This window comes from Homo sapiens, chromosome 3 (assembly GCF_000001405.40).
Source record: "Homo sapiens chromosome 3, GRCh38.p14 Primary Assembly".
Classification (NCBI taxonomy): domain Eukaryota; kingdom Metazoa; phylum Chordata; class Mammalia; order Primates; family Hominidae; genus Homo; species Homo sapiens.
The window spans coordinates 60,047,552-60,062,173 of NC_000003.12; the positions used below are offsets into that span (position 1 = coordinate 60,047,552).

General features: G+C 39.4%; 1 protein-coding gene across 8 annotated transcripts in view, besides 1 other annotated feature; it reads right to left on the bottom strand.

The window, feature by feature from the left end:
• FHIT (fragile histidine triad diadenosine triphosphatase) overlaps window positions 1-14,622 on the bottom strand; it is a 1,504,176-nt gene that overhangs the window by 300,275 nt on the left and 1,189,279 nt on the right. The window lies entirely within an intron of this gene.
• Window positions 7,467-7,670: a silencer, noted in NCBI's record as "fragment chr3:60040744-60040947 (GRCh37/hg19 assembly coordinates)". NCBI's record gives its function as "represses an EF-1alpha promoter that drives an FKBP-Casp9 reporter gene in an ReSE screen in HepG2 liver carcinoma cells {active_cell/tissue: HepG2}" and the evidence as "EXISTENCE:reporter gene assay evidence [ECO:0000049][PMID:32094911]".

Consider the following 14,622-nt stretch of genomic DNA (forward strand, 5'->3'; position numbering starts at 1 on the left):
CCACACCTGGCGTGAACCGATATGCTAGGTCACCCTGGTTCCTCAGGTGCATTAGGCATATGTGAGCAGTGAAACTATGACAACCAGAATGCAACATCCAATTATAATGATTAGAATAACAACAAACACTTAGGCAATAATTATTTCCATTCATTCACTTCATCTCCCCAATAACTCTACGAGGTAAGTACAATTATTATTCCCCACTTCATGGACCACTCAGTGCCATACTAAGAGTCCCAGAGCCAGTAACGAGCAGACTAGATTTAAGATCAACCCCATCTGACTTAGGGGTTCTGCTCTTACTGTTGTTCTGTACCTAAAGCTATCTGATGTATTTTAAAATGTAGGTGTATCAGTTTGGTGGGGTTGCCATAACCGTGAGTTGGGTGGCTTAAACAGCAGAAATTTTTCTTACAGTTCTAGAAACTGAAAGTCCAAGATCAAGGCATGGGCAGGTTTGGTTTCTCCTGAGGCCTCTCTCTCCCCTTGGCTTGCAGATGGTCTTCACCGTGTGTGCACCTTCCTGGTATGCCTTTGTGTGTCCTAATCTCCTCCACGTATAAGAACATCAGCCAGACCAGATTGGGACCCACCGTAATGGTTTCATTTTAAGTTCTCTCTTTCTTTGTTTTCTTCTTTTGAGACAGAGTCTCACTCTGCTGTCCAGGCTGGAGTGCAGTGGCGTGATCTCAGATCACTGCACCTTCTGCCTCCTGGGTTCAAGCTATTCTCCTGCCTCAGCCTCCCGAGTAGCTGGGACTACGGACATGTGCCACCACGCTTCCCTAATTTTTTGTATTTTTAGTAGAGATGGGGTTTCACTATGTTAGCCAGGATGGGCTCGATCTCCTGACCTCGTGATCCACCTGCCTCGGCCTCCCAGAGTGCTGGGATTACAGGCGTGAGTCTCTACGACCGGCCTTAAGTTCTCTTTTCAAAGGCCTTAGCTACAAATGCGGTCACATTCTGAGGTACTGTGGGTTAGGGCTTCGGTGTGAATTTTTGGGGAAACCACAACGCACCCCATAACAGCAGGTGTGTTAACGTTCTACAAAACGCAACGGTGGGTGAATTGTAGGACTTCCCTCTGCTTTATGAGGGCTTAATTGTATAGGGCCTTATTTTGGATCTTTCCACATTCAACAAGTTCTGAGAATGTGATACTTGGAAACCATGTTCATCAGAAGAGTGAAAGGCTTTCAGGTAAACGTCCTTTGATCTTTTTCACCGTGATGCCCTCCGATGACATTAACTGTGGTAGTAACCAGCATCATTCAGTTGCTGTTTTAGAAGGAACTTAAAAATGGAAGATTTGAAAACATGATTGTGAAACCATAATTTTGCACTGAGTCCAGTATTAACAGTTTTTCAACAGAGTTAACTCTTGCTGCTTTTTGTTTTAACCCTGAGTGTCTAGAACTGAGTTGGGCAAGCTCCTTAACCCACAGCACACCAGCAGCCTAGAACTCTCCAAGATGTCACTTGGATTTTCCTTCTGACCTGCCTTTCCTGATCCCTTGCTACCTCACCCTATAGACATAGGCTTACTTTTCCCTAATATTTTCCTGTACTTTAACGCATAGCTGTGTTTTTATGAAAAATAAAATACTGGGGTTTTATGCTCAACTTATTTAAATGATATTTCACTACAAATTATGTTCTTCTTCTATTTGTTTACATCATTATGCTTTTGAAAACCACCAGAATATGTATGTGTACCTCTGGATCTAAGCTGTTAAACATAGTAGCCACTAGCCACATGCAGCTACCGGGCATTTGAAATACGGCTCATGCAAGTGGAAAACTAAATTTGTAATTTTAATTTATCTTTAATTTAAATTTGAAAACCTGTATCTTAATTATGAGAATACTTTTAAATATTTTTGGAATATCTTGATGAATCTTCTTTTTTCAGTTGTACATTTTATAAAACTTAAATATGAATCAATCAGTTCCAATGAAAATTTAGCCTCTGATTTAAGATGTACTATAAAATACACATCAGATACTGAAAATAGTACAAAATAGGAATGTAAAACATATCAGTAAGTTTTATGTTGATGATATACTGAAATACTACTTTACATATATTAAATAAAATACAGCATTAACATGATCACCTAATTCTTTAAATTTAAAAAAGTAAAAATAAATTTTCTTGGTACTTTTTTGTGTGGCTACTAAAAATCTTTAAATTACACATGTGGTTCACATTATACTTCTACCAGACAGGGGTGATCTAGGTTTTAATTCCTCTAACTACTACAAGTATTCTATAATAAGCATAAATAATAATTTTACTTCATTCTCTTATCAGCAGGCAAATAGATTGTTTCTAATTCTTTACCATATCAAACAACCCTCCAAATTCCTGTTTTTATGCATCCTCACTAATACTTATTATGATCTTTCTTGTTGCTTTTGGTCAACTTGGTGGTTATAGAGCAGTGTTTCTTATTTAAATATTCATGTCTCAGAATACTGAAAGTGTACATATTAGCCATTCAAAGTTCCCCTTTCGTAAACTGCCCATTTATATCTTTGCTTATTAAAAATTTTGAATTCACATCTTTTATTTACCAATTAGTAGAAGTAAAAAGATATATTCCCAGTATAAATCTCTTGTCCACTGTTAGACGTAATTTTTCAGCTATTATACGTATCTCCAATATTTTCTTAGCTTGTACTTTGTTCATTTTTCCCATAGTTTATTTCATTGAACACAAATCTTTAATTATAATTAAATTCCTTAAATTTTACCTTTATTATTTCAAGAAATTCTACCCTAGTAAGAAATTGTGAAGAAATTTCATCTTTTCTACTCTTGGTTTATAGTTTCGCCTTCCATATTTGGATCTTCAGTCCATCATGAAGCCCTATAGCACTTAGAGCAGCAGATGGTTGCCAACATCCTAGGCTTAGGTACTTGCCATTTGAGAATCTGAACAAAACTGAAGACTTTCTTACTGAAAGAATGTATGTGCATAAAATACTATATATATAATTTCAGGCTGTTCCCAGACCTCTACTGCAAGCCCTTTCATGTATCCTTATGCAGTCCACAGAATCCAGGCGCAGGATCCCCGAGTCTCACAGATTCTACTCTCTATTCAAAAACTTCATTGTATTTTTCATGGCTTTGCTCACCATCTTTTTCTGGGTTATCTCATATTCTCAACTAGTTTATGAGCTCCTTACGGACAGAGACCTAGATCCAGGCATCTCCAAGATTTTTCATGGCACCTGAGAGCTGGGAGTGCTCAATAAATACGCCCCTTAGCAAGTGATATTCCAGAAATCAGACTCAGAGAAGAGAATGTGGTGTAAGGCCCAGGGGATTACTCTAAAGAGGCCTCCATTAATTCATGCATTCAATCAACAGTCATTGAGCTTGTCCACTGTTTCAGGTCCTGGGCTACATGGAAGATAATCAAGGGAAAGGCCACAGTTTGTGTCCTCAGAGGGTTCCTATTCTAGAGGGGACAGCAAAGGAGAAGTAATTATAACACGGGGCATCAATGCTCTGCTAAAGTAAGGAAGTAGGGAGCTTCTGGTCTGCATAACAGGAGGGTACCTAATGGGGCCTTTGAGGTAGGGGAAGGTTGGGCCTCTCAGCAGGAGTCATGTTTAGGCGGAGACTCACAAAAATGCATAGTGTTAAAAAAATTAAATTTAGCCTGAGGCTGTCTCCGTAATTTGAGTCCCTACCTAAGGAACTGCAGCCTAACCTAACTTAGTCTATTAAACACACCGAAAGCCTAATTTAGGATGCTTTTTTTTTTTTTTTTTGTAACAGCAGCTGAGCTTCAGCCAATCACAGGCTGCCAACTGATCAGACCATGACCAAATAAGGTGAACACCTAGACATAACTTAAGGAGGAGGCAGGATTTGACTGAGGAGGCAGGGCTCGGACACCAGATCAAATCAAAGACTACCTAGAACAGGGACAGAGTGGAAGTACATTTCCGTAAGATATGCCCACCACTGGTGCCATGCCACTTTATCTCTCCAGCACTTAATAGATTCTACCTGAACCCCTCACCCTCAACTGCTATTAACTGAACCTGGAAATCTGAGTATCTATATCTGTAGTGCATTAATGATTCTATATTTTGCACCCACTGTGTATTAATGACACAAAAGTGGAGGTTTCCCTTCAATGCTTTGATCCAACTCTAAGCTGCCAAGTCCCCAAGGCTGTAACAGTGTATACAGGATTCTACTTGTGAGCAAGGAAACAAACCATATATGGTGACTTCTCTCAGATAACAACATACAGGAAAAAAATAAAACAAACAAACAAAACAACTGCCTAATCTGGGAAGGTAGGAGTACTGACCCACTCTGTGAAACAAAGATTGGTTGGGTATCTCCATTGGAACAGGGCAAGAATATCTCTACAGACCCAATTTGGCAGCAATGGATAGATATCAGATGTTGTGGAGCCTCTATTTGCACCCCAACTGGACTAATTTTTGTTTGTGGCCATTAATGGGGAAAAGTCATACCCCATATTCACTCTTGACTACCCCATGAGCCACTTGTTTTTAGGAGTGGCTTTCCCTTGTATATAAAAAACTTGGAACAGAGGTGAATGTAGGATGGCCACTCTTGCTTCTCTAGGGGTCACAGTCTATAATCCCATAAGAACCAAGAACACCAGAAATAAACAAGCAACAGCATTAATTCTAGCAGGAATCAGAGCAGCAATAGAACGAGTGGCATCCTGGGGCAGCTTTGCCTATCACGAGTACACCCTGAAAAACTAGACTCAAACTCTAGAATCCCTAGCCACCAACACAGGTCATGTACTAAAGGGAATCCTAGAGTCCTTAGAATCTTTGGCAAATGTACTTCTTGGTAACTCATTCTGAGGGCTGCCCGATTAGTTGACTGCTCTTTGGTCAAACTCTGTTAAATTAAACTTGTCTACAGTTTTTCTTTTACCAGTAGGCAGCTCATCTGAAAACAGTAGGAGGGAAAAGAGGGAATCCTAGAAATCGATCTGTCATAAACATTGTGAACTGGCTAGAGTGCTCCTGCCTTTTCCTGGGAATCAGAAAGTAGCAGCCAGACAGGAAACCAAACCACCTGATCTTTTACAAACAGGAATCAGATCACTGTACTGCCACATTTAAAGCCACCAGGGGCATCCCATCTAGGATGGGATGGGAAAAAGTATGTCTAAAATATATATACATAGTGTATATAAATATATATTATATATAATATAAATAGTATATAAAATATATAAGTATATATTACACATATAATTTTTTCTTAGTATAAGTATGTCCCGCGTAATATTTGCAATGTAACTTACACTAACAAAGTATGTGTTATTTATCAGAAAGTCAAATTTATGGCAGTTAAACCTGCCAGCCCAAAGCACTTAAAATATAAAATTACACTTAAAATAGAGTCTTCAGTATTATATTTTCTCTGGCTTTCATCTTAGTGTGAGCTCTGCATTGTTCCCCATGCTTCAGGCATGCTGACCAGTGAGAATGAGAATAAGAATGCCAAGCTCCATCCCATCTTAGCACCTTGGCTTCTGTATCTTCTTTCCATTTAGAATGTGTTTTCCCTCTTTCTTAGCGTGGTTGGTTTCTTCTCTTCTTTCAAATACCAGTTTAGATGTCACCTCCATAGAGAGGCCTTCCCTAACCACACCACCTAAAGTAGGCTATCCCAATTATTTTCTCTCTAGATACATATATATATGTCAGTCCATAAACATTTTATTCTTTCACTTCTAAACTGTTGCCCTCACCATTATGTCAGAGACTTCTGCCTTTTGCATCTTTGTGTCCCTAGCCCTTAGCAAAATGTCTGTCACATACGAGATACTCAACAAATTTTTATCATATAATGGAAATCTTAAGTTAGTATTTTCTCTGGTGCTTCCAAGACATGCATTTTGCCTAGACATGTTATTGTTCGTCATGTGAACTGGCTATGGCAAAACACATTGCCTTCAGAGAGAAAGAGCCACACAAGTTGGAAAGGAAAGGTCACAAGGATGAAAGAACTCTATCAACATTAATGCCTTATAAAAAAATCTCTTAAGAGATACCAAAAGATGGAAAGAAATTGAGTCTATCATTTGAAGACATCCCCCACCCCCGCTTTTTTGCTTTCCTGCAAGTCATATCTGAGTCATACCTAAGGCACTTTGGCTGTGCCTCCTTGTGGTCCTCTCCATTTCTTACTACTTCATCTCATCACTTTACCACCTTCAAAGAGTCCTTTCCTCATATAACCTCACATGATGTTCACAGGATTAAAAAACTCCAAACGTTCAATAGAGAAACAACATTTTCTTAAAAATATACAGACAGACATATGCGAATTCTTTCAACATGCTTATAAATCTATCCACAACCCTACTCAGAGTATGCTTCAAATGTAAATCAGAAGCCATATATATTGTATTCTTCCAAGTGATTACTCTGGAAAAGAAAAATCACACATATTTATTGAGAGGAGAACAAATTTAATAATTTTGCTCAATCATCAAAAACATTTCTAAATATGAGCTATGATAGGAAAAAAATCAGTTTAACTTTACATATGAATTATTTTCCTGTTTTAATCATAGAATTTTTTAAAGTTTTGGATTAGATTCAAATTTCTTCAGAGAACTAAATGATAAGTTTGCAAACAATTACTGGAAAGAAATAAGGACAGGTGAGAGCAAAAGAAAGAAAAACGGTTACAGAGTGTAAAACTATTTTCAAGCACAAAGTTAAAAACTTCTAATACAGAACCTGGAAAACACTTTATGTGTGTGAGATAAATGAAAGCGTTGAGGTCAGATTAGAAAAACAAAACAAAACAAAACATAGCTTCTACTGACAAATGTAAATGCACCCTGTGATCCTGTTGCCAATGAAGTGGCATTGCTCTGATGTACCACTCCCATCCCAACCCAAGCACACACTTGTCAATGAGCACCAGGGTTTTCAAATTATCCAGAACTCTATCATAATGATGGAGCTAGGAAGTTCTTTCAGCCTCTTAACAGCAGCGCATTATTTTCCCTATAGATAATACTGAGAACATGGCAACACTTCTGCCTGATCTGCTTATTAATAATACCCAACACAGCATTTATTAGATAGAGAACTACTAGATGTTAGGTGCTGGGTTAAGCACAGGAAAAGAATCAACAAATTCTACATCATTTTCTTTGTTGTGTTGGTGGTGGTGGTTACTGTTGTTTATACCTTCAGATCTCTTTCTACACTAAATTTTTGGGTAGAAATGTTTAAATATCATCCTTAGCCTCCGCAATAATAATAGCATTTCATCACTATCACTGGTGAGAAATTTGTGTTTTATTTTTGTTTACATTTTACATTAAGAAATTAATGAAGTGGGAATGGCTACCTTTGCTGTATACTCCAAACTCCCACTGATCTGTGTGTGGGTTGCGTGTTTGTCTAGAGAGGACAGTTGCCCAACACAGGAAAAAAAATACCCTGTCATTATATGATTTTTCACAGAACTAAAAAGAAATAAACTACCCCCATTCCAAAGCGTGGCCTCCTATCTTTTTGCTACACCTCATATACTTTTCTCACATGGCAAGAAGGGTACCCTTGACTGCTCAGTGCCTCTCCCTCCTCTTGATGCTGAGATGCTCCAAAACACCACTGGGGTTCTTCAGGAGGGATTTCATTGTCAACTCCAGCTTGCAGTACAGGGAAGTGACATCTAGAGTGGGCCTCTTTTTGTCACTTTCCCCATACTACCACACACATAAAAATGCCTGTCAAACACTGTCCTACATACATGGATGAGAAAAAGAAATAAGCACTCTACTATGAAAGACTCTAACTAGAAAAAGCAAGGAGATGCCAACTGACAAATGTATGGTGATGGACTTTCTTTTTTTTTTTTTTTCCAATTCTCAGATTTATTTCTGAGGCTCTCAGCCAATTTCTGTGTCATAAAGATGGTGCAGTTCAGAGCTTAATTGCTTTAGCACTTGCACCAAGAAAAACTGTATTGCAAACAATGAAGAAAGAAGAGAGGAAACCAACATTTTCTAGGCACTGGCCACGTGGCAACCAGTGTACAAGGCATTTAGAGAAAGCTTTTTGATTCCATTCAATCCTGGAAACCAACATGTTGAAGGGCCAGATTTTTCACCATTTTATAGGGATGCAAACTTTAGCTCAGAGAGGTTAAATGACTTGCCAACAGTCACACAACTAGCACTTAGAGGAACGGGAAGGCTAACTCGGAGCTGATGCTGCAGCTTACACTCACTCCCCACTCCCACGCAACACAAACTCTTTCTAGGCAGCTTCGAAGGTACCAAACAAGTGGCTCCTAAGGACTCAGTAAACATTCCTGTCAGCTGGCCAAGATGAATATTTTGGATAATGTCCAGACACGTGAAATACCAGCTTTAAGTTGTGGAAGTGCTTCAGGCACAACCAAGTCTCATTTACGTCCTTTAAAAAATAGTCATGACCTGCCCCCTTCACACACTGTCATTCTTCTGGAAGGTATCTGAGAGCACAGCTCTGCAAATGCCAAGAGCATTATGCAGTTTCCATACATAGGGCTTCCTGAGTCAGGTTTGGCAGGGCAGGGGTTCAGTGTACAATATTTCTGCCTTATTTCTTTAAGTTTCTCTTGGCTACAGCTCTTAAGAGACACACAGAGGGAATGGATTCTGTAGAAGATTTCTCCCAGAAATTTTGGTGTAGATTAGAAAGCTTGGTTTGCTTCTGGTTCTATTACTTGAGATTTATTTGGAACTAAAAGGTTTTCTGCCTGAGAGTAACCATTTAATATATTGGGGAGGGGGGAAGAATAAAATGCTCCTTTTGTTTTGCTATTTGCACCACCCTGTCCCGATTCTATTGTTTGCAGTAAGTTTTGTAAGAGAAACTCTTCTGCACTCCTTATTGTGTTACAAGTTTAGATGTACCCAAACCATCAGCAGTTAGATTCCAAGTATACGCTTTTGATTGATTCAAGTGCATTACCCGGGAGGGTGTGTGCTTTGCTCTGTTGTTCTTCCAGCCAACTCCCTTGCCAGCTGCTGAAATGATGCCACCACCGGTCTCCATGTCATGCAGATTTTACACCCTGATACCAGGAAAGCAGAAGCATTTCTCAAAAGACTTTTTGCTGGCTTGGCAGGAAAACAGAAATTGCTTTTTATCAAAATGAAAAAGGTTTTCTTCATGGGAAACAGCAAAAGCAGTTTGAAAGAGGGGCCAATACTTTTATCCTAGATAAGGTGTTTTCAGCAGAGCAGACAGAAAAACATGTTTTCCTTCCTTTCATGACATCAATCAGATCCCCAAAGCCAGCTACCTTTATTCACAGAACAGATGGAGCGGTAATGGTCCCAGAGGCCACTCTTCCTGGTCTGGGGATCTTGCCATCCCTGCCTGAAAGTTCTCAAATCCAAGCTCTGGGAACTTGGGATGCTTTTTTCTGCCTCTCCCACACTCCAAGAGGAACACATCCACTATTATGCATGTCTTCATTCTTTGTCCTGGGTGGAACTTCTGGGGGTGGGAGAATGGGTGATAAAGGGGGAAGTGGGATTCACTTTGTGAACACCTACTAGAAGCCAAGCCAGGTACATCCTATGCATTATTTCATATAAACCTTACCACAAAACTTTGAGTGGTATTATTATGTCCATATGACAGACGCCAAAGAAGTAGACTAGGGGAGTTAAATGAAATCCCAAAAGTCATATACTAATATGTGGAATACTAGTAAAATCTGGAATGTGAACCCTGCCTGGTCTGTTGCTTCAGAGCTTTGATGTGCCACCAACAAACACTTCCATGCCTCTCTGCTTAGAGGCCCAGTTTAAAATGCTATCCTCTGGATAAATATGTGGTAGGTCCATACAATGGAATATTACTCAGCCATGAAAATGAAATTCTGACACGTTACAACATGAATGAACCTTGAAAACATAAGCTAAGTGAAATAAGCCAGTCACAAAGGATGATATTGTGATTCTGAAACCAACCCAATAATCCCATAGATAGTTTTTTGGATAGACGTAGAAATTGACCTTTGTGGTCTTAATGCTTGAAGTTTATATTTGTTTTAACTGAGTTCCTTCCTCAGGAAATGACCTTCAGGCCTCTCGAAAAAAAAAAAAAAGTATTGGCAAACTGAAACTCACCAGATCACCACATTTTGACAATGAGATGCTGGACCCCTCATTCTCAGGATTGCTTCCTTGCCTCTCCCTAGTTCCTGTTTTCTTATACATTATTACATTTCTTCCTGGCTATATAAACCCCTGGTTTTACATAGTCTGGTTTTGGTCAGGGAAATGGATTTGAGACTGAACTCCCTTCTTCTTGGCAATACTCATCATCTCAGTGACTGGTTTTCTGCACGGCAAACAGCAGGACCTAGACCGAACCCCTAGTGTTTTGGTAACAATTCCACTTCTGTGAGGTACCTAGAATAGGCAAGCTTACAGAGACAGAAAAGTAGAACACAGATTACCAGGGGCTGGGGGAGGGAGAAAGTAGTCCGGGGAATAGGGAGTTATTGTATAATGAGTACAGAGTTGTGTTTTTTTTTTTTTTTTTTTTTTTTTTTTGAGACAGAGTCTCGCTCTGTCACCAGGCTGGAGTGCAGTGGCTCGACTCGATCTCGGCTCACTGCAATCTCCGCCTCCTGGGTTCAAGCAATTCTCCTGCCTCAGCCTCCTGAGTAGCTGGGATTACATGCCCAGCTAATTTTTGTATTTTTAGTAGAGATGGGGTTTCACCATGTTGGGCAGGATGGTCTGGATCTCTTGACCTCATGATCTGCCCGCCTCAGCCTCCCACACTGTTGGGATTACAGGCGTGAGCCACCGTGCTGACCGTGTACAGAGTTTCTATTTGAGATGACAGAAACTTCTGGAGTTGGATAGTGTGATGACTGCACAACATTGTGAATGTACTCAGTACCACTGAATGACACAGTTAGAAATGGTTAACATGCTAAATTTTATGTTATGTGTAGTTTGCCATCACACAAAAATGTTCCCTGCTTTTCCCTTTGAAAGATGCCACATCTGCCCTGATTCCAAAGCTCTTTCTTAGAATTGACTCCCACTAGCTGTAAAGTGACACAAAAGATGATCTACTCCAGGCATGCCAACTCAAATCCACTGATAGTGACAGCTAGCAACACTGTGTTAAGAAAGATTATGAGGATGTTTTCAGGGCCAAAAAAGATAAATAACATGATCGATTTGTAAAAATCCCCTCACAATGAGACATCGAAATGTTGGATAAAATACAACAAAATATTAATTGTTCTGGGAAATGTGAATTGGGAAACACAGACCAAGTGGCAAAAGCTTGGGCAGAGAGTCATGGTATTCAGAGGCCATGATGGTCAAATACAGGTTGATCTTCTAAAAACATAGGAACCGAGTGAGTAAGAAAATCAAGGCAACTAAAACGAAGAAAATGTTACAGTAGGTAGGTAGTCAGGCGTGATGGGGCAGGAGAGGGCCCTCCCAACACCCCCACCAGGAAAGCCACGCTACCATCAGGTGATGGTCAGGTGGTTGTTAACTCTCTTTAAAATAATAATTTGTCACAGCCAGCACCAGGGAAAGACCGTCTTCCTATATTGATAGGAAACACCTGTAACTGGTAATCAGCAGTTTTCAGGAGTTGGGCGAGTGAGCACAAGCATGCGCATTAAGAGACAAAATGGCAGAATATGGTTTTCTGGGGCATTCCACTGGAAAAGGGAAGAAAGCCTCAGGTGGGCATACATACAACTTCTTAAACACACTCACATGCTCACCTCCCACATGTTAGCAGGCCACACACATGTGGGTGGCCCACCTTAAGAGAAGAACCATGGGAAAAGGGACACAAGGCCCAGAAGTACAACAACATATAAAACCCACGTCAAAAGGTCAAACGTTACATGTGACCTTCACAGTGCCTGCTTGGGTCTCTTCCAGATATACTTTCCTTTCTTTCCTGTGCTAAAGCTTTTTAATAAACTTCCACTCCTGCTCTAAAACTTGTCTCAGTCTCTTTTCCTGCCTTATGCCCCTCAGCTGAATTCTTTCTCAGGAGGCAAGAACTGAGGTTGCTGCAGGCCCATATCGATTAGCCGCCAGTAACCCAAATATTCATTGCCCCCAACAAAAAGAGCAGAGGTTTTCTGTGCCTACGAGGTTCATGAATGAGGGCTGCCTAGAGCTCCCCCCATTCTTGTTGGGTCTCCCCTTCTAGTACAAGACTCCTTGTAGCTTTGCAATAAGTTTACCTTTTCCTTATAAAACTTTACTAGCTATTCTTCAAATCGACAATGGTTTGACTTCAACAGGTCTTCATGGGGTGATCACATCATGTGTCATCCATAGAGGGTAATTTGAACTTATAAGCATTAACCGTGCTCCATGAGTTGTTGTTTTTTGTTTTGTTTTGTTTTCCTTTTGCTTTGATAAACAACATACCCAGATACATGGGGGAAAAATGGTAGTCATCCAATTTCTTCATATTGCCAGACTCACAGCAACAGGAAAGTGACGTTATTAACCCTGGGGAGCCTCTATAACTTCTTAAACCATAAACAAAAATAAAGAACATAATGGAAGGTATAATTGGTGTTAAAAAAAAAAACCCAAATGTTTTCTGAATTCCATCCTCATGTTACACACTCAAAAAGTTTCTCTGTAAAGAAAGAAAATCTTTGACTCAAGAATCAACTTTCTAGCTATCTCAAAACCAAATTATAATGAATTTAGACCGTAGAATCAATACTGGGGGACTAACTAAGGATCACTAAATCCTGTGTTATTGATTGCTTGGAGAAAACTATCTTTTTAAATATGCATCACATAACAAAGTTCTTTATTTCTAAGAACTTTCTCCAAATCCTCCCATCACATGGTTTATGTAATGATTAATCCTTTGTATTAACTACTTTATGTGTCAGAAATATTAAAATGCATATTAACTGTTCCTGGGAAATGGTTCTGCAGTTTCTCCTAAAAGTATACTACCTACTTTGAATAAGTTACATGAAAACTGTGGCACATTTGGGAAGAAAGCAGCTTAGTAGGAGAAAAATGAGATTTGCAATTATAAGAACTCAATACATGGGTGTCTTAGGCATTTCCAGATTTTAAAAAAGTATAATGACTTTTCTCCCCCAGTGTGATACCAAAATCAATGGAATGGTTTTGGTTTGTTTTCTACTGGAGTGTACCAGTTAGATTTAATCACAGAGGGAAAAATCTTGTTTTGATTTCTCTTATTAATTACTTCTTGGAAAAATGCACTGTAGCATTCTTATTCAGAATTTCAGGAACAAAAACTTTTCACTTTTCAAACTGCAAATGAAGGTGGGGTAAATGTGTGAAGGAGCTAAGATCTAGATATATTAGAGTTTCTATCTCTGAATCCAGGAAGGACTTTGTTTATAGTGGTGGAAATCAAGCAAGGAGCTATTGGTTGGTCCACACAATGCCTAGGTGTTGGCTGTCATGCTCCATTCAGACCCACAATCCCAATGAAACCTGTCACTTTCAAGAGTGCAAATAATAGGATGGGGAAAGAGTGTTAGAGTAGGACGTTTTCTAACAAGAGCCCAGTGGATTCCTACCTTTCATCTAATAAATTTCAATGGTTTAAGAGAGCAGATCCATAGGTGCCACACAGCGAAAGGACCTGTGTAAAAATCACAGTGAGACTCTGGAGTAAGAGATGGAATGTGATGGCCCGAGGCCCTGCCCTCCAACCTTGAGTCCACAACATACGACCTCTTTAAAAAACTCCCTCCAGAAGCCCTACAGTTTCCTCTCTGGTTTGCGTCTTACTGCTGAAGAGTCTGTTTGTAGAGATGGATATCTGACTAAGCTAGCTTTCCTTTTTTATGCTCTTTCCCTCAAGAACCAAGGGTTTTTCACATTCCAAAATAAAATGCAAACTGAGAGCATTTTGTATTTTTGCATTTCGATTCCCTGTTTTGTCAGTGAGTAATTATAGCAAATAAAATATTGCAGCTGAATGTAAATTGTTAGGCAACCAGATCACAGCAGGATATTTTTCTTCCACAAGTTTTACATCATAGAGTGTTAAATATTAAAATATTGCAAGTCAAGTAAACAGAGAGGGTTCTTTGCTCAAAACATTAATTTTAAACAAACATTTCACTGTTATTCAGATCGGATGCTAGGAAACAAATGACATTTTCTTTCAAATAAGGTGAATAGATCATATGAAAGGAAAGCAGACAAGGGAATCATACAGAAGGAAGGGCATTTATGACACGAGAGATGAATTTCAGCCAGAAGAACAGGAGAGAATTCACATGTAGGAGAGAAAGCAAAAGAAAGAGAAATTGGCAAAACAACATGGAAAAGAGCAAGAAATGAGAAAGACTGACTTACTGCTAGAAGGGGAAAAAATGAAGATACGTCTCATGTCAGAGTACAGAGACCTGACTCAAAATAAGGCAGCTGGGGAAGAAATGAAATTCTTTCTAACATCATGAATTTCTGTTTCCTTAGGTTATTACCAGAAAGGTAGAAAGGAGATGAATTTTCAGACCTCCAAAAGATCACCAATCAATAAAATACCAATCAATAAGCATTG